Source organism: Homo sapiens, chromosome 2 (assembly GCF_000001405.40).
Source record: "Homo sapiens chromosome 2, GRCh38.p14 Primary Assembly".
Taxonomy (NCBI): Eukaryota; Metazoa; Chordata; class Mammalia; order Primates; family Hominidae; genus Homo; species Homo sapiens.
The window spans coordinates 220,744,076-220,768,786 of NC_000002.12; the positions used below are offsets into that span (position 1 = coordinate 220,744,076).

The following is a 24,711-nucleotide window of genomic DNA, read 5'->3' on the forward strand; positions in this document are numbered from 1 at the left end:
AGTAAATCTTTTCTACTAATTTGCACATAAGTAGATTAATCATAGGTAATAAATAAATAAATAATTGAAAGAAATTTTACATGCCATGTTGGCAATCTTTATTAAGTTGATAGTGACAATTTTCATAGTTTTACTCATTTTTATTTTCTTGGTTCACCTAATAGTTTCTGAACATTGTAAACTATCTTGAAATGTATTTTAAGAAAATAAAGATTTCTCATCATTTGAGTAAATCTTTTCTACTAATTTGCACATAAGTAGATTAATCATAGGTAATAAATAAATAAATAATTGAAAGAAATTTTACATAGAAACTTCCATATGTGTGTTTTTGAATGATGCATATCAAAATGGTCTTTTCAAGTATTTTTCAGTGTGATTCATTAACCAGCAGCATTACTAGCAATGCTTACAAAAAACTGTGGATTCTTAGACCCTACCCAAAGCCTACTGAAGTTTGAAGCTACTGAGTTTGAAGTCCACATTTTAGCAAGCTGTTAGGTGATCCTTATGCATACTGAAGAGGTCAAGCTCCTTCTCTTTGCAATATACTTTTCAGATTTAGCAAAACCCTATTTCCCATATTTGCACTAGCCATGCTCTTTTGGGTGCTAGTTTTCCTTGTTGTGCTTGAGCTTTAATTTACTACACACCCATAACATGCAATCACAGTATAAAGAAGGATGTGTTCCCCACTTGGGTAGAACCTTGCCAGATGCCCCACTTTATGTGGGTGGAGAAGAATCTGAAAGTTGAGACTTCAATTCAGGGCTAGCAAGTCCATACACACATCAGCACCACTTAATCCTTTAAAATGCTCTATATTTTAAATGTTTTCCATTTTTCTTTAGTGGAAATAATAAAGTGGCTTTAAATAAACAGTTTCTTCTGTTTCAGAAAGTTGTGTGTTTATCTCAGTGTGGCCAATCAATGGATTCCAAAAGGTTTATGGTTTTTTTACTCCTATGGGGCAACCAAAGGCTAAATTCTAAAGGATTTGGAAATGTCAGCTTGTAATACAAACTGTGTTGGCCTTGGGGCCTGAGATCACAACCGTTACTCACCATGTTTACAAATTATATCATTTAGTCTAGTATACTAACTGTAAACTCACCGACAATTATAGTAGAGAAAGAATTACAGTCAGCCTTTTTCCTTTTTTTTTTTTTGTTGTCTGAACTGTCATGACATATGGATTCCTCATCAGTCCTCAAATCACATAGAGGGCCTCCCTAGAAGCTACTCTTGAAATCAATAGGCAGCTAGGCTTTCAGATGAAATACGGAATTGCTATAGACTTTTTCAGAAGGAGAACAAATGGTTTCACTAAACGAGTCCCGTATGTTATTCCAGGCAGATGTATACACATCTGTGATTTTTAATAGAAAGGATGAAAGTATTACATTTCATTAGGTAAGTTACACATTTGAAAAGTCGGTTTTTTCTTCAGGCTATTATTTTTCTGTTTGTTGTTCCTTCTTACCCAATTCTCTCCAATTGTGCTCAGAAAGGCATGATTGTGCACCCTTCTGAGGACAGAATGGTGATTCTTTACTTCTCTCTCAATATCCTCTTTTCCTTTTTCTTTCTCTACCCCACCTCCTCTTTTCTGTCTGTCCTCTTCTCTTCCCATTAATGTAGCTTTCAAAGTTGTATTAACTTTTTATTTGGCCTAAACAAGATCTGCTCACTTTTAAGACTTTGCGCAAGAGAAAGGTAAGTAGTTTGTGGCTCTTCGCAACTGGCTGCTTCCATTGCCAAGTTGTGCAGTCTAGGGAATGCATAAATCCTAAACTGTCAAATATTGCCACTGAGCTTGTGCTCAAAGGATTTGGCAACTTCAACAGAGTGAAGAAACATTGGCCAACTACGGTGGCTCATGCCTGCAATCCTACACTTTGGGAGGCCGAGGCGGGTGGATCACCTGAGGTCAGAAGTTCGAGAGCAGCCTGGCCAACATGATGAAACCCCGTCTCTACTAAAAATACAAAAATTAGTCAGGCGTGGTGGCATGCCCCTGTAACCCCAGCTACTCGGGAGGCTAAGGTGGGAGAATTGCTTGAACTCAAACCCAGGAGGCAGAGGCTGCTGTGAGCTGAGATCGTGCCACTGCAGTACAGCCTGGGTGACAGAGTGAAACCCCGTCTCAAAAAAAAAAAAAAAAAAAGAAAAAAAAAAGAAAGAAACACTACTTATCCGCTAAAAGCCTGATAGGTGGTACATTTGCTTTTAGAACATTGTACAATATTGACTCTGGATTATATTAATATTGATATAAATATAGATATATAGATACCAATACAGATATATCTGAGAAAATGTAACTCCTTTACATTTCACATACTATATATATAATTATTTCATATTTCATGTGAAGTTATGTATTTCACATATAATGAATATACTAATATATATGGTATTATGTATTTCATATATATTATTATTTGCATTATATCCATAATATGTATTTCATATATATTAGTATATCCATATTTGGAGGGGCTAATAAAAGTGGCAGAAATTAAGGGACAAAGAGGAATAGTGATAAGACAGATGATATATTTATATTTTTATTCTAATAAATACATTAGCTGACATATTAAGAAGTACTAGTGCCTGTGGAGAGGGGGATGTATGTGTGTGTGGTACCATCTGTGAAAATTTTCTTTCCAGCCAAAAGGTCTTGTGAACCATCAGCCATCGTATTTCTTGGGTAGCTGTCATTGATCTATACCTGACATTCTAGGCAAGATCCCATTAGAGATTGCAAATCCAGTAAAGATAGAAGCCAGGAGGATGGGTCACAAGAAAAGATGGGTCACAAGAAAAGATATAGGAAAATGCTATACATTTTAAGGTAGAAATAATGACATTTTGTTAAAAGTGCTTAGAAAATAATATGTTTTAGAAATTATTTGTAGAATGATATTAAGAAAGTGGAGAAACAAGTTATTACAAAAAAATGAGAGTTTTCTCTCTCCAACTTCAAAACTGGACTAGTGCATCGATTGGCAAGACTGGTCAGAACCATCCAGGAAAAGTCAATAGTGAGGGCAGCCCTCCACAGAATCTAGCCCGTCAGATTTCCTAGAGTTCCTTCAACCTCCACCCAGCAGCTACGGGAGCTAAGGGCTTTGCAGTGACCCAGGAAAACAGTCTGATGGAAACAGAACAGCTCCTTTCAGGTGATTCCTTGGGTCTGAAACTCAAAGTCAGTCCCCAAACCCCCAACATTTGCCAAGGCCAAGCATTGAGCTCTGTTCCCTCCTATCTATGCATACTTCTTATAATCTCTGTTCTTCTTTAGGGACCAATTTAGTGTTCATTATAATTTGATATAATGTCTAAAAACTGTACATTTTCCTTGGGCTCAACCACTTTCCAGAAGTATAGTAATCATCTTGTCCTATGTGATCAGTGTAATGGTGGGAGCTTCATCGTATTTTATTGTGGCATATTTTTATGTGAAGAGTAATGCTTATATGCATTTTTAAAATAATCTACTTTAAGGTTACCCACTAGTGAATTTTTCTTCTCAGGTCAACACTATTTCTTATTTAATCATCAGCTTGGTTTTTTAAAATACCACAAATCTCTCTAAATTCAATATTGGTCTATTACTTTGGCTTCCTTTTTTTGTCTATAACAATAAAAAATGAGATAGAGATGTTCTATCAGCACCTTTATGAATATTGATATTTCTCAAAAGTGTGCTCTTATACTTCAGGCCTACTGTAAAGAAAATATGGAAAGAGCTTCTGGTTTCTTTGAAAAAAAAATCAATGAAAATCTCAAGACAAGGCATAATGTCAAGTAAGTCCAATAATCAGACCATAGCTAATGACTAAAAAATCATGACGTGGCAAAAATGAAGTTTCATGCCTGTTCAGGTTACTAAACAAAAAATTGACTGATCTTCAACTAAAGCAAAAACAATGGAGAATGTATTGTACATCCCATCAAGCCTTCTGAAAGGTCATCTAATTAACATTTTGCATTAACTCTTACTCTTCAATTTGACCTCAAAATACCAGAAATATACTGTGGCATATTAGAGTTTCATAGTGATTATAAACACAAAGAAACAGAAAGCTAGAAAGCACTGCAAGTAGGGAGGACTTCTCCCTTTGCATCAGAGATGTCAGAAGAGATAAGGATACTGAGAAGACAGCTGGACATGGAGGTGAGCATAAGATGGACTCAGGACGGTGATCCAAATACCCTGATACAGAAAAAGGCAGCTTAGTTCAAGAGTTCTTAAATAGGAGTCATCGGAGACCCACAGCTATGTTGCTCTCAGGATAAAGGCAGTCCTGAATCTTGATTATATTAAATCACGTTAGGCGTGTTTGCAGAGTTGGCTGCACAAATAGACTGGAGAGGATGCTTATAATATAAAATGTAGATACTCAAATAAAATGTTTCCTATTCTGCTTATCATGGTGGTTCAAATTCCATCACTATTGATTACTCTCTGAAATGCTGAGTTGCTGCAAACAGTAAGAGACTGGGAGTACAGAAGAAACAAGACATATAAGAGGTTCATTAAAAAGTCAATGAAATATTTAATAAGCAACTATTACATCAATATATTTGTATGAAGAAGGAGGAAGGGATATAAGATGGAATTTATTTTTTCAATGAGTAAACATTTGCAGAATACCCAGGATGATCATGCATTGTATTTGCAGATAGACAGATTGAATGACAAATAACAACCTCAGCCCTAGAGAAGCTTTAACTTTTATAATTTTTTCCCAATTTTCATATTAAAGAGACAAAATTGATAAAGTTTAAATTTTCTCAAAAAAGTACCATAATAAGCATGTGAATCCCTCCCTGGCAAGCAAGGTATCCAGGTTCTCTCATCAGAACTGACTAGAAGGCTGGTGCGATCCATAGAGAGGAAGAACAGTGTGGTGCGGAAGCCTGTCTGAGAGCCACACGGGCAGGGGAGCCCCCTCTCCCGAGCCAAGGAAGGCAGCGAGTGAGCATGCTACCCAGCCAAGGAAACCGTGCTGTTACCACGGAATTGTGCAACTCATGGATCAGATTCCACTTGCGAACCCACGCCACCAGGGCCTAGCATCCCAACCCTGGAGCTGTGCAGATTCTCAACAGCCTCTCAGCTGGAGCCTACTGAACTCCCAGCGGAAGGGGAAACCGGCACCAATGCTGCGGCTGTATGCTGTCTAAGCCCTTTGAACTCCTTGGGGGAGGAGCAGCAGCCAGCACTGGGTCTGGCAACTAACATGCTAAGCCCCCTGGGCAGGGGAAGGACAGCATCCATCTCTACAGCTCCTGGCTGCACTTTCCCCTGCTAAAGCCAGGGAGGCTGGAGGGCTTAGTCTCAAGATGTGTCCCCTAAAGTGCAACACACTGGCTGTGGCAGGCTGCAGCCAGGGCACCTCTTCAGGCCTGACCCTGACCCATCCTTCCTCATTGGTTGGGGCTTCCCTGCAGGAACTCCAATAGCTCCAACCAGAGGCTCAAGGACAGAACAGAACAGGGCAGGGGAGCAATCCTACAGGCATCAGATTGGTGCCCGTCGAGGTCCGAGATCCCAGAAGAAGGAGCAGGCATCCACCTTTGCTGTTCTCCAGCTTCCTTGAGTGACATCTCCAAGTGAGGGGGCGAACCAGATGAATAGGACCTGAAGTGAACCCCTGGAAAACTGCAGGAGCCCTACAGAAGAGGGACCTGACCATTGAAAGAAAAACAAACAAACAGAAAGCAACAACAGCATCAACAACAACAAAAAGTACCCACAGAATAGCCCTCCAAGGATCAGCAGCCTCAAAGATCAAAACTAGTTAAACTCACAAAGATGAGAAAGAATCAGCAAAAACAAAAAACAAAAAACTGAAAATCCAAAAAGCCAGTGTGACTCTTCTCCTCCAAATGATTGCAGCGTCTCTCCAGTAAGGATGCAGAACTGGATGGAGGATCAGATGGACGAATTGACAAAAGTCCGGCCCTCTAGGTGGTAAATTCTGAGTCATTCTTCAATCTCCAGGACAAAAACACTTTGCAATTGTGTCTGGGTTAGTTCCGAGTCTTACGCTAAAGGGCTTTAAATTCAACTATAATTAAGACTTACCTGAGAAAATGTAACTCCTTTACCTGTTAGCAGAAAGTTACTCTGCGTGTGAATGGAGGATCTGTGGCTGAGGTGGATGGGGTTTTCTAAATATAAAAATCATGTCGTCTGCGAACAGAGACAATTTGACTTTCCCTCTTCCTATTTGAGTATGCTTTATTTCTTTCTCTCGCCTGATTGCCCTGGCCAGAACTTCCAATACTATGTTGAATAACAGTGGTGAGAGAGAGCATCCTTGACTTGTACCAGTTTTCAAAGGGAATGGTTCCAGTTTTTGCCCATTCAATATGATATTGGCTGTGGGTTTGTCACAAATAGCTCTTATTATTTTGAGATATGTTCCATCAATATCTAGTTTATTGAGAGTTTTCACATGAAGGGACATTGAATTTTATCAAAGGCCTTTTCTGCTTCTATTGAGATAATCATGTGGTTTTTGTCTTTGGTTCTGTTTATGTGATGTATTACATTTATTGATTTGCATATGTTGGACCAGCCTTGCATCCCAAGGATGAAGTCAACTTGATCGTGGTGGATAAGTTTTTTGATGTGCTGCTGGATTCAGTTTGCCAGGATTTTATTGAGGATTTTTACACCTATGTTCATCAGGGATATTGGCCTAAAATTTTCTTTTTTTGTTTTGTCTCTGCCAGGTTTTGGTATCAGGATGATGCTGGCTTCATGAAATTAGTTATGGAGGAGTCCCTCCTTTTCAATTGTTTGGAACAGTTTCAGAAGGAATGGTTTCAGCTCCTCTTTGTATTTCTGGTAGAATTTAACTGTGAATCTGTCTGGTCCTCGGTTTTTTGTTGGTTGGTAGGCTATTAATTACTGCCTCAATTTTGGAACTTGTTTTTGGTCTATTAGGAATTCAACCTCTTCCTGGTTTAGTCTTGGGAGGGTGTATGTGTCCAGGAATTTATCCATTTCTTCTAGATTTTCTAGTTTATTTGGGTAGATGTATTATAGTATTCTCTGATACTAGTTTGTGTTTCTGTGGGGTCAGTGTCATTTTTGTCATTTTTGTTGTGTCTATTTGATTCTTCTCTCTCATATTCTTTATTAGTCTAGGTAGTGGTGTATCTATTTTGTTAATTTTTTCAAAAAAATCAGCTCCTGGATTCATTGATTTTTTTGGAGGGTTTTTCATGTCTCTATCTCCCTCAATTCTGCTCTGATATTAGTTATTTCTTGTCTTCTGCTAGCTTTTGGATTAGTTTGCTCTTGCCTCTTTAGCTCTTTTAATTGTGATGTTAGGGTGTCGATTTGAGACCTTTCTAGCTTTCTGATGTGAGCATTTAGTGCTATAAATTTCCCTCTTAGCACTGCTTTAGCCATGTCCCAGAGATTCTGGTATGTTGTCTCTTTGTTCTCATTGGTTTCAAAGAACTTCTTGATTTCTGTCTTAATTTCATTATTTACCCAGGAATCATTCAGGAGCAGGTTGTTCAATTTCCACGTAATTGTGTGGTTTTGTGTGGTTTTGAGTGAGTTTCTTTCTTTCTTTTTTTTTTTTTTTTTTTGAGACGTAGTCTTGTTCTTTCGCCCAGGCGGGACTGCAGTGGCGCCATCTTGGCTCACTGCAAGCTCCGCCTACTGGGTTCACACCATTCTCCTGCCTCAGCCTCCCAAGTAGCTGGGACTACTACAGGTGCCCACCACCACACCTGGCTAATATTTTTTGTATTTTTAGTAGAGATGGGGTTTCACTGTGTTAGCCAGGACGGTCTCGATCTCCTGACCTCGTGATCCGCCCGCCAGGGCAATCAGGCAAGAGAAAGAAAGAAGCATACTCAAATAGGAAGGGAGAAAGTCAAATTGTCTCTGTTTGCAGACGACATGATTTTTATATTTAGAAAACCTCATCCACCTCAGCCACAGCAGGGCAAACTCAGGTATCTGGTCAGTGAGTGTTAGCATGTAGTGTTAGGTATGTAGTTGTTCTCTTCCAAATAATAGAATGCAGGATTATAAATACAACATAATCAACTTAATATCAAATTTAAAATTAAAATAACAAGCTCCATGCACTGTCATCATCAAGGTCAAGGTGACCAAAGTCCAGCCCTCTAGGTGGTAAATTCTGAGTCATTCTTCAATCTCCAGCACAAAAACACTTTGCAGTTGTGTCTGGGTTAGTTCCGAGTCTTACGCTAAAGGGCTTTAAATTCAATTATAATTAAGATTTACCTGAAAAAATGTAACTCCTTTACCTGTTAGCAGAAACTTACTCTGAGTGTGAATGGAGGATCTGACTGAGAATGTTAAGAGGAGTGAGGACATGGAAGGACCACACAGGATCAATGCACCTTTGCATGATTGAGGGCCTAGAATAGGGAGAGGTGTAGCCCCTGCCTTTGGACATAGGACATAGGGCACCTATGTGTAGGGATATATGTGCAGGGTTAGCCGGATGCTCCTCACCTTAAGATGAAGTAATGGCCCAGCACTGTGGCTCACACCTGTAATCCCAGTACTTTGGGAGGCCAAGGTGGGCAGATCACCTGAGGTCAGGAGTTCAAGACTAGCCTGGCCAATATGGTAAAACCCCATCTCTACTAAAAATAAAAAAATTAGCCTGGCGTGGTGGCAGGCACCTGTAGTCCCAGCTACTTGGGAGGCTGAGGCAAAAGAATCACTTGAACCTGGGAGGTGGAGGTTGCAGTGAGCCAAGATCGTGCCACTGCACTCCAGCCTGGGTGACAGAGTGAGACTCTGTCTCAAAAAAAAAAAAAAAAAAAAAGGTGAAGTAACACCCCAACAAACCCATCCTAAGTTAAAAATATCGTAAGTCAAAATGCATGTAATATACCTAACCCACAGAACATCACATCTTAGCTTAGCCTACCTTAAATGTGCTCAGAACACTTACTGTGTAAAGTTGTCTAACACAAAGCCTGTTTTATAATAAAGTGTTGAATAGTGCATGTAATTTATTGAACACTATACTAAAAGTGAAAAACAGAATGGTTTTATGGGCACTCAAAGTACAGTTTTTACTGAATGTGTATCACTTTGCACCATCCTCAAGTTGAAAATGATAAGTGGAACCATCGTGAGTCAGGGATCTTCCGCACGGGGATAAGTACAGAGGTTTCTGGAGCCTTACCAATTCAGGAAAATTTTGGGACTTAATAAGCACAAGGAGACATGGAGGACTGGACAATTGGGCATAAAAGGAATATACACTTAAGGGATATGAGCCTAGAAAAATTGGACGGATGGTATTTTATATTTTCACTGAATTTTCTTGTAAATGTGAGCAGTCAATAAATGCTTGAGGGAATTAGAAAATCTGGTCAATGAGTGTTACCATTTATATAATATTTTGGACCCTTAAGTTGTTTTTCTCGAACTTGTTTTTATATTAGTCAATAAGTATGCACAATTTCATGTTTCAAATGTTTTGGCAAATTTCTTCATTGGTTTTTTCCCAGCTTTAATTTTTGCATCTGGCAAGAGTTTCTGCAAATTCCCTGTGGTAAAGATGGCAGGCTGCCCTGGAGATCTTCTCTTCCTTGTGGGTTGGCTGTGGCTCGGAAGTGGCGGCTTCCTGGAGCCTGTGTGTCCATTCCCAACTTCCTTGCATCTAGGTAAGGCCTCATGACTAAATTCTGGTCAATAAAATATGGGCAGAATTGATGTTTACCACTTGTATGCCTCAGTCATGTTAAAAAACAACAACAACAAAAAACAAAAAACCACCTGTGCAATCCTGTGGTCTCTTACTTAGTGTCAGCTGGATGTTGTCTCCCAGGATCCCAGGATAACCCCCAGAGCCACGTGTTGAAGATGATGGTTTGGTCAGTCTGGATCCCTCTGTCTCCCACTCCAGCTGTAGATTGAACTTTCTGTGAGCAAGAAATGAATCTCTGTTTAAAGTCATTTAGGTCTTGCATGTGATGTGACTTTGTGTCTTTTCTTATATAATCGGGTATCCTCTTGGTGCACAATGAAACCCACTTAATAATTCCTTTTAATGTTGGTGTTTTGGCCCTAAAGAGCTGGCACATTGCATACATGTCTGCTAAGAAACCTATAAATAGCTTGTAGTCAACTGTGTGTATCTGGTCTCAGATTCTTTCATAGAGACAGGTCTCCTTTGAAAGACGAGCCTCACAAACTTGGCCACCATGTGATAAGGCCTTGTCAGCAACAGATAATTGGGGGTTCAACTTCAAGAAAATCCTAACTATAGTCATTGTCTCCAAAGGTCATTCACAGAAGGTGGTGGTGGCCATTATACAACTATAATGGGATTCCAAATCAAACACACAAATGAGGCAAGAAGACTTTTATTTTTTGTATTCTGCCTTTTTTCCTTCTGAAGCTTTAGAGAAGTGAAAGAACAAGGGCAAAAGTGGCTTGTACTTGTTATCCAAATACTCTATTCTGAATGCTATGGGACACCGGCACAGCAGTGCCAGCCACAGCTGAAAAGAAAAGGTTGTACTTAAGTATCCGTAGCAAAAAGAAACACAAGCAACAAATAGTTCTGCCATCCATGGCCAGTATTTTGATTATGAATCCTGAGATGTACTTAACCAAAGATATCTAAATGATTAACTTTATAGAAAGTCAATGACAATGTTCAGTCAAATACAATAAAGTTAAACTAAGGGATGGAGAAAATGCCCCATTAAGAAGAAATTGCATAAGCCACTGCTGTGGTTCTATTTTTGCAGGATAATTAAACCGATTTAAGGGAAAGATGGGATTAAGAGACAGAAAGTGAGAGGTCATCTAATCTACCAGTTTTTCAAAAGCCAATTCTCTGATCTATGCTAGTCCGAGATAATGTCTTCCCCGTTAATGGACAAATGAAATAAATTAGGAAAATGAATGAGCTTTTAATAAAGTATGCAACATAAATTATATTCTTTATCCTATGAACATGTGCTTCTTAATTTTTATACTAAATGTTCTTTCTTCAAAGAAATTTTAGTCATAATAGTGTTTATTGATGGTTTTATTTTCTTTTTAATATCTTTTACTGAAAAATAAAGTAGCCCTTAGTTCTTTTATTTATTTATTTATTTTTGGAAATTGTACTGGTTTCTGAAATTCTAGAAGCTATTCTAATTTATTCCTTGAATTCAAACAGGACTATAATTCACACTCTGAAACAGAATCCTACATCACGTTTTTTAGAAAGAGGGAGCATTTTATAAAATCTCTGAATAATACTTGTCTATGCTAAAGATATTTCACCATTAGAAATGCTCTATTTTCTCTGATACTAAGGGTTAGATGGGTTAAATTACTTTACAAATTTTTTTTCATGCCCAGTATCATAGAAATGTAGAGCTAGACTGGGCACTGAAAAACATCTGGTTAAATTACTTTCTTTTATATAGAGATGCAGGTGGAGACACACAACAGTAAGGTCATTGGATCAGTATCCTATGATTGGGTAATTGCACAAATAGGTCCTTTGAACTCTCAGCCATACTGTTTTCTATGTACCATATCGGCACCTTAATTAAATAGCACAGCCCACTTCTCAGGTGAAGCTCTTTCAAGTTTTGACAAGCTTTGGTTTAATTTGATTCTTACCTGAACCACATCTATATTATAAAAATAATAATTCTTAATATAAATTGCATGTCATTTGAATGTTAGAGTAATTGTATACTCCTTTATATATATCCCGTGTAGGGAAAGCCTTCATATGGGGAAGCACTTGCCAACAGGGTGATCATGATGCCAATGGAAGGCTCTATAATTGGGAGAGTTGGGCTTACTTCAAGGATAGAGAAGGGAGGAGAGCCAAACTAAAACAATTTTTTTTCTTAAAATAGCTTACATTTTGTCAAACAACAATTTTTATTTACAACTGATACACAAATGAAAACAAGATATGGAGAAAACTTGTGTACAGTTTTTAAACAAACTGAACTCTTTTACATCCCATATTATGAGAGAATTCCAAACTTTTACAGGAAATGGAGTTCCCTTAAAACATGATCCAACTTGAATCTGTGTCGCTGGCAGTTTTGAGTCTTCAAAAGATAGCTATTTTAAGCTAAGCTTTCTAAAATCTATTTCCTTACAACTGTATATATAAAAAGTGTACTATTATAGGAATATTAATACAATCCCCATTTACAAATTGTAGAGGGGATATAAGTGGAAAATATGAAGTAGAACATTCAGAATGGTGCAGAAAATGAAATGGGAAATTGCTGCTGCTGTGTTAGCCCTCCTTCTCCCAGAAACCAGAGAAAATAACTCCTCTCCTCCCCTTAGCTGTGAAAGCAGGGAGGGTGCTTGGGGAGAGGGTCAGAGCACACCCCATGCGGGTGTCAAAATTGTGCTTTGCCTGGTTGGAAAATGAGTGTCTGACTTATGGAAGAATCACCCTTTGGCACATCTGACATGTATAAAATTCTCCTCAGTGGAGTATCCCACTAGGATGAAGCAAGTATTGCATAAATGAAAACCTTTATGATGCTATCATTTACTTGTTAATGTGTATACAGATGTATAACAAGCATATATGTGTGTGTGTGTGTTTCTGTACAACCATATGTATAACTGAATCAGCCTTTGTCTTCTTTCACTATCTTATTCTACTTGCACATTTAGGAGTGGTAGGAATCACTTATAACCCTGGCCTATCCACTCCTACCCCCGCTCATTTCCGCTTCCTTGGTACAAAGGCTCTAACTGTGCTCACCTGGGCTCCGTGGGCGTGTCTCTTCCTCTGGGTACTCACTGCCATAAACAGCGCTTCCTGCTGTATGAAATTTCACTCATTCCTTCCTGCCTACCTTCCAAGTTCAAAACTTCTGGTCCTATCTGTAACTGCCCGCCTTTCCAACTCAATCCCTTATCAGAGTTCACATTTTTCCCCTTTTCCCTGATAATTGCCCCCATTCTTCTGCTCACACCAACTGTTACATTCTTAAGTTGAGATCTGTCCTTTTTTTTGTTGTTTGGTTTACCCTATCAAGAGTTTATATTAAACAAAAGGGTGCAGTTTAGATAAATAAGTATGTGTGCATTATTATTCTAGAGAGAATTTTGTTCACAATGGGATATATAATTGATACACATTTCTCTATAAAATTTTTAAGATTTAAATGGGAACGGTAGGCAAGTAAACTTACATGGGAACTAGAATAATGACCCTAGGATTTGGTACTGTGGCTTTTGTTTTTGAACTGAAAATTTCTACTGTCAGTTGATTCACTTGATAACCTAGGTAAAAATACTGAATGGTTTTGTTTTAGCGCGCGCGCGCGCGTGTGTGTGTGTGTGTGTGTGTGTGTGTAAAAATACATTTTGACATGATGGAGATAGGGTTAGCACTGTTCTAACTCCTACTTCAATCTCTACATTTCCACTTCATGCCCCACCAGTCATGCTTAGTAAATAGTGAATTCTAGGAAGTTTGAAATATATGTTTTCCATAGTAAAATTTATTATAACTACGGTCAAAAATATACCAGTTGCCTAAATTAACTTGAAGTAAATATTATTCAGACACATAGACTGACTCCTAATGTGTAGACTTCAGCATCTGTTGTAATATTTTCATGTTTCTGTTTACAACTGACTACTTGGAAGCCATTATTTCATAGAGTTGGCATCACTGGGCTATTCAGTGAATGTAGAGTAGGGGTGATGGGCATGGTATGTACATCCTCTGGCTTTTGTAACTGTGTTTTAAGAAGTGGATTGGCATGCCTCTTATCAGTCAATGGGCTAAAGGGATTCTGTTGCTATTCTGTAGTATTTCAAATATAGAGAAGAGCTCATGAATGTGTGGGTCATTATACTCTTGCTGGCTTTACGTGTGGATAAAGATGGATGACTCCCAGGTGTGATGTGACAGGCTCTACAAAAACCTTTCCCCAACATTTTCTCTCTTCTCTTTGCTTCTTACACTACTGAAAACAGAAACAACAGGGTACTAGCCTGTGGGGTTAAGGTAGTGCAGCCTAGCATGGACTCTGGAGCTGGATTACTGAGTCCAAAGTTCAGTTCCAATAACTATCAGCTGTGTGGCTTTGATCATCTACCTAACCTCTCTGAGCTTCAATTTCCTCATCTCTATTGATGAAGAAAATAATAGCACCTGATCATTGTTGTGGGGTTAAATATGTAGATATGTACAAAGTACTTAGAACAGTGGTTGCCAGCTACATAGGATGTGCCACTGTGGCTATTATGATTGAGGATTTTTCTGGAGATAAAAAACACTGAACTAAAACCGGAAATCAGTAACTTTACTGTGTCCATAGGAAGTCTACTGGGTAGAGGAACTCTGAAAGAAAGAGAGGATATCAAAGATAAACTAATTTGTTTGGAGGTTCACCAAATCTTCATAGTTCTAAATATCATATCCTCTGAAAAGCAGATATGTTTGCATTTTTATTTATTTATTTATTTATTTATTTATTTATTTATTTTTCAATGTTGGATTTTTTTTAAATTATACTTCAAGTTTTAGGGTACATGTGCACAACGTGCAGGTTAGTTACATGTGTATACATGTGCCATGTTGGTGTGCTGCACCCATTAACTCGTCTGGAAACCATCATTCTCAGCAAACTATCGCAAGGACAAAAAACCAAACACCGCATGTTCTCACTCATAGGTGGGAATTGAACAATGAGAACACAGGGACACAGGAAGGGGAACATCACACACTGGGGCCTGTTGCGGGGTGGGGGGAGAGGGGAGGGATAGCATTAGGAGATATACCTAATATTTTTGCATTTTTACAACCAAACAAAAGTATTCTGAGAAATGCTAGAATGGCAGCCTCTGGCAAATGACTTGGGATCCAAAGCAACTTGCCATCTTAAGGGAGCAATTTGGGCCTCCAAGTACACTTATCCATGCCTACTGCATTGAGTTAGTCCTGCCCCCAGTGTAAAACCAGAGGAGCCAAGCTTTACAGGCCATTCTAGTTTCTTCTGGGCTGGCCCCAGAACAAGTTCCAGGATGGTCATGTCTTCACTGCGGCAATCCCAGAATACTAAGTTTCTCTGATGATGAGTTCTTTGGTATGTAAATGACAAAAATTCTCCCTAAGGACAATCCTTAAAAGCAAAGAGCATATGAAGTTGCCTGTGTGATGTCACTTAAGATAAAAAGGGGATGTATAGCCACCCCAAAACATAGTTTAAAAATGAAATAATATAAACATTGAAAGGGATGTTAAGTATAAATTATTCTAGTGGGCATTATTCACATTGTCTGGCATGTAGCAGTTGCTCAATAAATGTTGAATAAATGAATGGATTAATTAAAATATGGCCCAGCTTCTGATGTAGCTATAAATTTCATTGTGTAAAGCTGGAACATTGGTAGTTATAAAAAATTTACCACCCAATCCAAGATTAATCAACCTCTTTTTTGTGCCATGGATTTCTTTAGCAGTCTGATGAAGGCCATGAACTTCTACTTAGGATAAGGTTTTTTTTTTTTTTTAGACAGAGTTTCGCTCTTGTTTCCCAGGCTGGAGTGCAATGGGCTCACCATAACCTCTGCCTCCTGGGTTCAAGTGATTCTCCTGCCTCAGCCTCCCGAGTAGCTGGGATTACAGGCATGCACCACCAGGACCGGCTAATTTTTTGTAGTTTTTTTTTTTTTAGTAGAGATGGGGTTTCTCCATGTTGGTCAGGCTGGTTGCAAACTCCCAACCTCAATTGATCCACCCACCTCGGCCTCCCAAAGTGCTGGGATCACAGGCGTGAGCCACCGCATCTGGCCGGATAAGGTTTTTTTTTGATGACTTTATTGAGATGTAATTGAAGCACAATCAACTTTACATATTTATGTTGAACAATGTGATGAGTTTTTACATGCACAAATATCCATGAATACATCACCACAATCAAGATAAAAACATTTAATCACTTTCCAAGGATCCTTCATGCTCATTTGCAACCTATTATTCCCCAGGCAACCACTGATCTTTTTTTTTTGGTTTGAGACAGAGTCTCGCTCTGTTGCCCAGGCTGGAGTGCAGTGGCGCGATCTCAGCTCACTGCAAGCTCCACCTCCTGGGTTCACGCCATTCTCCTGCCTCAGCCTCCTGAGTAGTTGGGACTAAAGGCATCCGGCACCACGCCTGGCTAATTTTTGTATTTTTAGTAGAGATGAGGTTTCACCATGTTAGTCAGGGTGGTCTCGAACTCCTGACCTCAGGTGATCCACCTGCCTTGGCCTCCCAAAGTGCTGGTATTACAGGCGTGAGCCACTGCACCTGGCCGATCTTCTTTTTATACTTATTTTATATTTTCTAGAATTTTTTATAAGTGGGAGCACACAGTATATGCTCTTTTTGTCATTTATAAATGTCAGTTCAATGAAGATGGTTAATAATGTTATTCTGGTCTGTGTCTTTGCTAAATTTTTTGTTTAGTGTGTTATCAATTACTGAGAGGTAGTTATAAAAATTTCTGCTATAATTGTGGACTTGTCTATTTCTATTTAATTCAGTCGATTGTTGCTTCATGTATCTTGAGTATCTGCTATTAGGCACTTACACATTTATAATTGTTATTTCTCTTTTATCATTATGAAAAAAATCCTTTGTATAAGCAGTACTACTTTCTATATTGAAGTATACTTATCAGATATCAAAACAGTCAGTCCAGCCTTTTATTGCTTACTGTTTGTGTGGTATTATTTTTTTCCTTTCATTCACTTTCAACTTATCTGTGTTTTTATATTGTCTCTAATAGGAAACATAAAATAGAGTCTTGCTTGAGTATCCACTCTGTTAATTTATGCTTCTTAATTGTAGTTTTTGGACATTTGACATTTAATGTAATTATTAATATTGTTTGATTTAGTTCTACTATTTTATTGTTTGTTTTCTGTTTTTCTCCTGTGTATTCTGTTTCCTTTTTTCTTCCTTTCTTTGGCATGCCAGAGTATTTTTTAACGTTCTAATTTAAGTTTTCACTACTTGGCTATATTCCTTTGGATTTTCTTTTTTCTTAATGGTTGTTCTAGTGATTAAAATATACATATCTAACCTATTAAGTCTATCTATATTGTACTACCTCATTCAAATGTAGACATTTATATTGCATTTATCGTATATGTACTTACACTATACATATGTACATAGTTTATACATTACTTATATATACATACATATATTACCCCATTCAATAATTTTATTTTTTGCTTTCTATAATTACACATATTTTAAGGAACTTAAGAGGATAATACACTCTATTATATTTACCCATATTTTTACCATTTATGTTGCTGTGCCTTTATTTCTGAAGAAACAACTTACCCTTGGATATAATTTCCCTTCAGCCTGTAGACCCTCCCTTGAATATTTGTAGAACAAGGCTGATGGTGGGAAATTATTTTAGTTTCTCTACATCTGAAATGTCTTCATTTCACCTTCATTTCTGAAGAATATTTTCACTATATATTGTACTCCGATTTCACTTTTTTTTCTTTCAGTGCTTTAAAGATGTCATTTTACTGTTTTCTCACCTCCACATTAGCTGATAAGAGGTCCATGGCCAATTAGGTCATTGCTACACTGTCCATAATATGTCTTTCTCTCTAGCCACTTTCAAGGTACATATGTATCTTAGGTTTACAACAATTTGACGAAGATATTTACAAGCATGATTTTCAATGAGCTTATCCTGCTTGAGATTAACTGAACTCTTTGAATCTCTAAATTGATGTCTTTCCCCAAAATTGGGGAGTTTAGAGCCATGATTTCTTCATACTTTTTTCTGTTCCAAACTTTTTCTTTTACTTCCAGCACTCCAGTGATGTGTATATTTGAATTTTTTAATATCGTCTCGCAAATTCCTGCAGTTGTTTTCTCCCCCATCCCTCATTTCATTTCTCTCTCTGTTCTTCACATTGGACAATTTCCATTGTCTATCTTCAAATTGACTGAGTTTTTCCTTTGTATCTCGATTTTGTTGATGATCCCATTCAATGACTTTTTTCATGTTAGAGATTCCATTTTGGGGTTGAAATTTATCACTTGGTTCTTTTTTATATATAGTTTATGTTTCTCTGATGAGAATTCCTCTTTCCATTCATGTCAAGTGTATTCTCTTCAACTTAGAAAGCATGTTATAATAGCTGCTTTAAAGCCTTTATCTAACAATTCTAACACCTTGGTCATGTCAGAGTTGGTATCTGCTAGTTGCCTGGTCCCTTGAAAACTGATCACATTTTCCTGGTTTTCTCATGTTGGGAATTTGGGAGCATATCCCAGACCTTGTGTACGTTCTGTTGCTTAGACTCTGATTCCTCTAGAGGATGTTGAGGTGTTACGTTTTAGTAGAAAATCAGCTCAATGAGGGTCAGACTGCAAACTCTGCTCATCATCTTAGGGCTGTGTTCAAATTTCAGTTCAGTTTTAAAATATTTGCTGTGGTTTGGGTCTGCTGTATGTGTATATAGAACCTGAGATTTCTATGGGTTCAGACACAGAAATAAGGGAACTCTTCTGGATTTCTCCCCTCCAAGATTTGCTCTCAGACTCTCCAGCCCACAGCTACCTATTTTCCTGGTTCCTCTGGCAAGAAAATGATCTCTTTTGGAGCTTAACTGCCTGCACCGCAAAGACTGCTTTGCTGCAAATGGGGCTTTCCCTCAGGCGAAAAAAAAAAGGTGAAACTCGCCTACATATGGTTTATTTCTACAAGATGTGAGTCCCCTTAAGAAGCAACCTGTATAGTTGTTTTTTGTTTCTTATCCATGAGTTTCTAGTTGTAATCAATGGGATATAAGGGCCATTTTGTGCTTAGGCTCCACCATGCTGAAACTGAAACTCCCAGAAAAGGATTTTGTTAGTTTTTCAAACCTAAACAGGTGTATTTTATTATCCATTTTGCATTCAGGAATTTTACCAGTTCTCTAGTGAGAAGAAATTTACGTATAATCAGAATGCCATTATACGTAATTTGTGGTTTTGTTGTATATTATTAGGCTTCAATTAACTATATGATAATATGTTTATAATTCTCCTTTTGAATGTCATTGCCATTCCTTTTGCTGTCTTTGCAAAACGAAGTCCCAAACTGGAGAAACAAGTCATTCAAAATCTGGGTACAACTTTAGAATAAGATTTTGAATGCTGAAAATAAATACATAAGACAAGGAAAGTTGATTGTGTAATATCCTCATTAGATTGTGCATCGTATCTTAATTCTCCCATTAAGCCATGTCATTACAAAATGTTAAACTGGGGAAGTCCTTCCAAGTCACTCAGTTTGCTCTCATTATTATGCAAGTGAGCTGTTGAAGACAATAAAAACAGAGTGACATTTCAAAAGTCTAGAGTCTATTAATATCAGAACTCTACTTTAACCCAGATCAATTCTATTCTGATCAATTCTATTGGTCTAGTCCAATTCCATTTCCCCACATTAGAATTAGGTATTGAATCCTTTAAACTGAGGCATTGTATTTTCAAGATTTGTCACGGAAAGATCATTATACTTATATGTCCATAAGCCTTATTAACTGCAAAACATTTTAAGTGAGTTTTTTCCAGGAATATTATGAGTCATTTTATTTAATCAACAAATAATGCTCTGAACTATGTATCATTTTTAGCTCCATTTTCCAGATGAGGAAACTGTTAAGAGGTTAGTGATATTAAGTATCTTGTCCAAGGTTGCAAAGCAAGTATATTGGCCAAAGCTAACTCCAAAATTTATAAATTGACCATTTTGGCCCCGAAGTTCATAGTCCTAAATCTATTAAATGGTGTCTCATGATCTGGCAAAAACAAATGGACAAAAGCTTTTGTAAATTTATTCATATGAAATTATGTAACATTACATGTAATAAGATTTATCCTGGAAAATCTGGGCTGTGATTTACACATAGGCAACCAATATATAGTTCTTGAATAAATGAATGATACCATCATCTTCATCATCATCATCACTACTAATAAATGTTATGTATCATTTGTTGTGTGTCATGCACTGTTATAAACATGTCATATGCATTGTCTTTCTAAGATCTCAGAACAAGTCTTTTTAATATAATAGAAGTGGGAATTGAGACACACAGAAGTTGAGTAACTTTCCTAAGTTTGTAAAGTTAGTTAGTGGTAAAGCTTGGGGCAAAAGCCCAGGCAGCTCTGCAAACAGTGTTTTTACCCAATGTAAAAAGAAGAGCACATGTCCAGTACTTTTTCAGTGAGGAAATTACCTTTAAATATTGGTTTTATTTAGTAACACATCATTAGGCACCGTTTGACATTGGTTATCACGTCATTATTTACTTTTGCAATTTCAACACCCCCGCTCCTGCCGTCTTGGCTACCGTGCTTCAAATGGAAGCAGTATGTAAGAGTTCAATCTTGCTTTCTGGCCCTCTTTCCTTAATCATGAACATTTTACTCTTTTAAAAAGTTTAAGTAGAAACAGACCTATTTAGGAAAATAGATTAAATAACCATACAACAGTATTTTTAAAGACAACTTTTAAAAAATGTATTAAAGACAAAATAAATACGGTATGATTTTGTGCCTTTACCAGTAGACTCTCCCATTTCCTTTACCTGCTTACCCCTAGTTCCTCCCTGAAGGCCATTATGAAGCCTAACTCAGTCAAAGCTTTTGCTTCAATGGGTGCGTTCCCTGCATTTTGATATGTCACCTGTATCTTTAGAATTGGTCCTTCCAGTTGTGTCATTCTAATAAAGTATATTCTCTTTTTTAGAGAGATCAAAGAAAGATTCTTTGAGGCTAGTGGGACCATATGTTATTCCTCTTCATACTCACCATATGTCTAATACTCAAAAGTGTTTGGTAAAGTCTCACTTAATGATTGAATGGGGAGAGTCCTGAGCCAGGTTATCACAAGTGCTGATAAATGTTAAACTGAAACAGAATGAGTGAGAAAAAAATGCCCTTCCTCCATTTCCTCACTCTTCCGCAATGATTTTTTTTTTCTGAAGAGAACTCCAACTGTTTTCTTTCTGGTCCTCAACTTCTCCCCTCTCCACTTTATATTTTTCTGACCTGGCTGGGTGGCAAAATGCTTGCATTTAACCTTTGTTTTCTTCTCTAATTGTCTCTTCCATCTGGCTTTCCATTGCCAAGTATTTCTTCAAAATAATTTTCTCAAAAATACACTTTCATTCCCCAAAGTATTTTAAACAAAACTTAAACGTGGCTGTTGAACAAATGTTTAGTTCAATGTCATGATATCTAGAGCTAATTTTCAGGAAGCAATGCCTTGGTGAGAAAACTTAAGCCTGAAATATCCTTCAGTAATTGCAATTGTATAAAGAGGAATTTTTGGAAAGTGCAAACATAGACTTGTTTATTGTGATGTCTGTGGATGTAAAAATAAAATTAATAGGCAAAATAACATGAATTAATTATCTTGCCTCAAATAAAAGATTATTTCCTCAGCATCAAGTGAAAAAACAAAAACAAAAACAAAGATGGGTTCTGAAGGCATCCATGCTCATTATAGCAGAAAAATAAAATATTTTACAAGTTAATATTTGCTAATGTACAAGATGCGTCCAAGGTTTGGATTCTATGCTACTCTCCTGGGAACTTGTTCAGTAATGTATGTGTGAGCTAGAGATTGGAAGTGCTTTAAATGAGCCCCTCCAGGTTCTCTGAAACAATTTTGATTCAGCTCTACATCTCCTTATTAAACTCATGTGGGACTTGCGGGTGCTTGGACATGAAAGCTGCAGATTCCTGACACGGTTGTGACCCTTGGTGGTGGGCTTTGCAAGACAATAAAAAGGGTGAGTCCCCAGCTGTGTACATGTCAACTAGTGAACCTCAAAAATAGGGTCATTGACGAGAGAGAAAGACTTAATTTTATATAGGTTAAAAAAAAAAAAAAGGAGCACCAGGCAGAGAGTAGAGAGATGGCAAAACATGGAATAAGAAATAGGCTTAAGATGTGGGGGAGGATGGAAACCTGTACCTTGCTGGCCTCTTAAATAGAAAAAGGAGAAAGCAATAAGCAACAGAAGATTCTTAATGATCTGAATATGGCCACAGATGCCTGAGGCTGGGCCTATTTCAGGCCAATAATGAGCTTTTGGGCTTATGGAGTCATTTATTTGGCTCTACAGTGTGGAGCCCAAAGGCGCTGTTCATTAGGAAGCAGGAACTTTACCTAAGGGTTGTTTGTGTTGGTCTTTCTTGCCAGAATGAATTGTTCATTAGTGTCGGAGAGAGATCCACCCTCTCTCTCTACAGATAAATGGTTTAAAATAAAACCTGTTGATTGGGGTTTGGGTGAGGGAAGGGAAAGAAGTGTTCAATAGAAGCTGCTAAGCCCCTTTGATGATGGTTGAGGGACAAACAAGCCTGCGCAGCGTAAATAAATCCCAAATCACTGCCTGACTAACCTGGTTTTATCATTAAAATGGTAAATTAACTTGGCCCTGTGTATGGTCCAGTTATTTGGGTTAACTTAATGATGTAATTGGATCAACTAAGTGATAATCCACTTGCTAATTCAAGCTATCAGCTGTAAGTCCCATTATATAGTTACTGCACCTTACCATCACCATCAACCAGCCCAAGGATTTTCCCGCAGTGTGGAAACACGTAGAGGTGAGTAGGAGATGGAGAGTTCTAGAATTTGGAATGCCAAAGGCTTGTTGAATGTAGCAGCCATGCAGCAACTCCTTGCTTGTCTTACCTCGTGTGATAGTATAGACATCTCTTACTTTTTACTGGAAAATCTGGGTTTAATAGTATTTTACAAGTGATTATTCCCTTTCATTGTAGACCTTTTGTCAGTAATGGCATGATCATGTTAACATGTTTCTTTGTTTCTCTTTTTACTGAAATTCTCCAGAAAGTATTTTGGAGAGTTGAAAATACATGTAGCCTAGAGACTATAGTAGAAAAACTGTAAAAATAAAAATACAAATGAATTAGCCAAAAATAAACTTTCTTTCCAGATGGAGATTTTGGTAGTCTGGAATGAAATGCACAAGAAGGTTTATGTAACTGATTAGTGACAGAAAGCCTGGAAAACAAATGCTAAGCTACATGAAGGGTGCTGCTGGTGACACTGGCGATGCAGATTTGATGAACACTTTCCCAAAGGGTAGAAGCAACTGACTGCTGCAAATCAGAAAATCAGCTTTGTCCTGGAGGTTCCTCTTAATTGAGGTGAATTACTATGTTGCCTTAATTACTGTGCTTTTCCCTAGTACTTCTGGCAAATATTCCATTGGCCTTGATTCCAGCACTATCCATTGAAATGTTGTAAAATTACCGATGACTGAAAGAGGGAGCAACACATTAGAGAGACCCTTAAAGATTGGATTCATTTTTGTGAAGGTCCACTGCTAATGCTTTCTCAGCAAATTGAGCTGTGTAATTTAAACAGAACACATCTTTTTTCACAATAGACTCGTAGGATATGGAAGTATACAAATGCTTTCACAGCCCAAAGTGACAAATTAATAACCTATAAATTAATTATAGGTGTTTTTTTGTATCTTTCCCCCTGATTAGTTTAATGTTCCTTTCCTTTTTTATTCAAAAAGTTCTCTTTCCATCAATTCTGCCAGGACTGGGAATCGCAAACCTTTCAGCTATTTCTAATCTTCAGTACTTGGAATCACTAAGCAGTGAGGACTGTCAACATAAAAATTCATTGTACCCACCAGCTGCATTAACATATTTTTTTTTCCAGGAGCATCTCCTGCTGCTGGTTTTCATGTTAATGCATTTCCAGTGTCTTGCTTCAAGTGAAAAGTATCCTGTTTCTCTCTGCCCTAGGTCCATATGAATCTTTTCCAGTGAACAACTATTATCACTCTTGGAAAGTGTGAAATTTTGTGAATGTAACAGAGTAAATTATTATTTTTAAAAGTCAATTTAGCTACCCTCTGTCTGTTTCACTTGGCTTAAAACGAATCAAATTACCAGTGCCAAGCTCAGCAGTTGGAACTGTCTACCTACAGAATCAGACTGAAGAAACGAGAAAATGATATGCATTTTCTCCAAAGCAAATGTTTGCCATTTGCTCTATAACTTCTAATGCCTTATAATTTCATAACATAATGAGCTATGAATCAGCAAAAGTTGCTTTATTATTTAACCTTGTTACTATTTCCAATCACATATTGCCTAGACTATGTCATGCCTTCCTGATATTGGCAGTACATAACTTTCATTATAAAAGACAATATTTAAATCATTTGAAGGTGTTGCAGACTGGAGATTCAGATGGATTTCTTTTTACCAGGGGCATTTTCTTGGAACAGTAATTTCTTGACTACTTCTTGTAGTCTCTGGATACTTGCCATTTATCGATTTCATAGTGTGTTTCAAAAACTGACAGCTTAGTTGTGAATTACCAAGGAAACTTTATAAGAAATACACAACTGAGCAAACCATGGCTCTTCATCCATATGCATCATTTTAATACTTACCAACATAAAGATGGAAGGAGATATATTAATACTTTAAAAAAATTGGTAAACATAAATACAAAAAATTATGTGAATAGTATTAAAATTCTCATATACCCAGTAACCAGTGTTTAAAATGATAAAACTGGGCAGGGCGTGGTGTCTCACGCCTGTAATCCCAGCACCTTGGAAGGCTGAGGTAGGTGCATCACCTGAGGTCAGGAGTTCGAGAC

The 24,711-nt window shown here is 37.6% G+C and overlaps 1 long non-coding RNA gene across 5 annotated transcripts in view, besides 1 other annotated feature; it reads left to right on the top strand.

Moving 5' to 3' along the window:
• Positions 1–24,711, top strand: part of LOC105373896 (uncharacterized) — an 86,007-nt gene that overhangs the window by 3,791 nt on the left and 57,505 nt on the right. For 4 of the 5 annotated variants that reach the window (XR_001739891.1, XR_001739893.1, XR_001739892.1 and 1 more), the window contains exon 1: positions 9,614–9,693. This is a non-coding gene — a long non-coding RNA (uncharacterized LOC105373896). Of the gene's footprint in view, positions 1–9,537; positions 9,694–24,711 lie in introns of those variants that run through there. The other variant, XR_001739890.2, reaches the window with a different exon arrangement.
• Positions 5,206–5,706: an enhancer, noted in NCBI's record as "H3K4me1 hESC enhancer chr2:221614001-221614501 (GRCh37/hg19 assembly coordinates)". NCBI's record gives its function as "activates a minimal SCP1, AML or CMV promoter by ChIP-STARR-seq in naive H9 embryonic stem cells {active_cell/tissue: H9 hESC(naive)}" and the evidence as "EXISTENCE:reporter gene assay evidence [ECO:0000049][PMID:30033119]".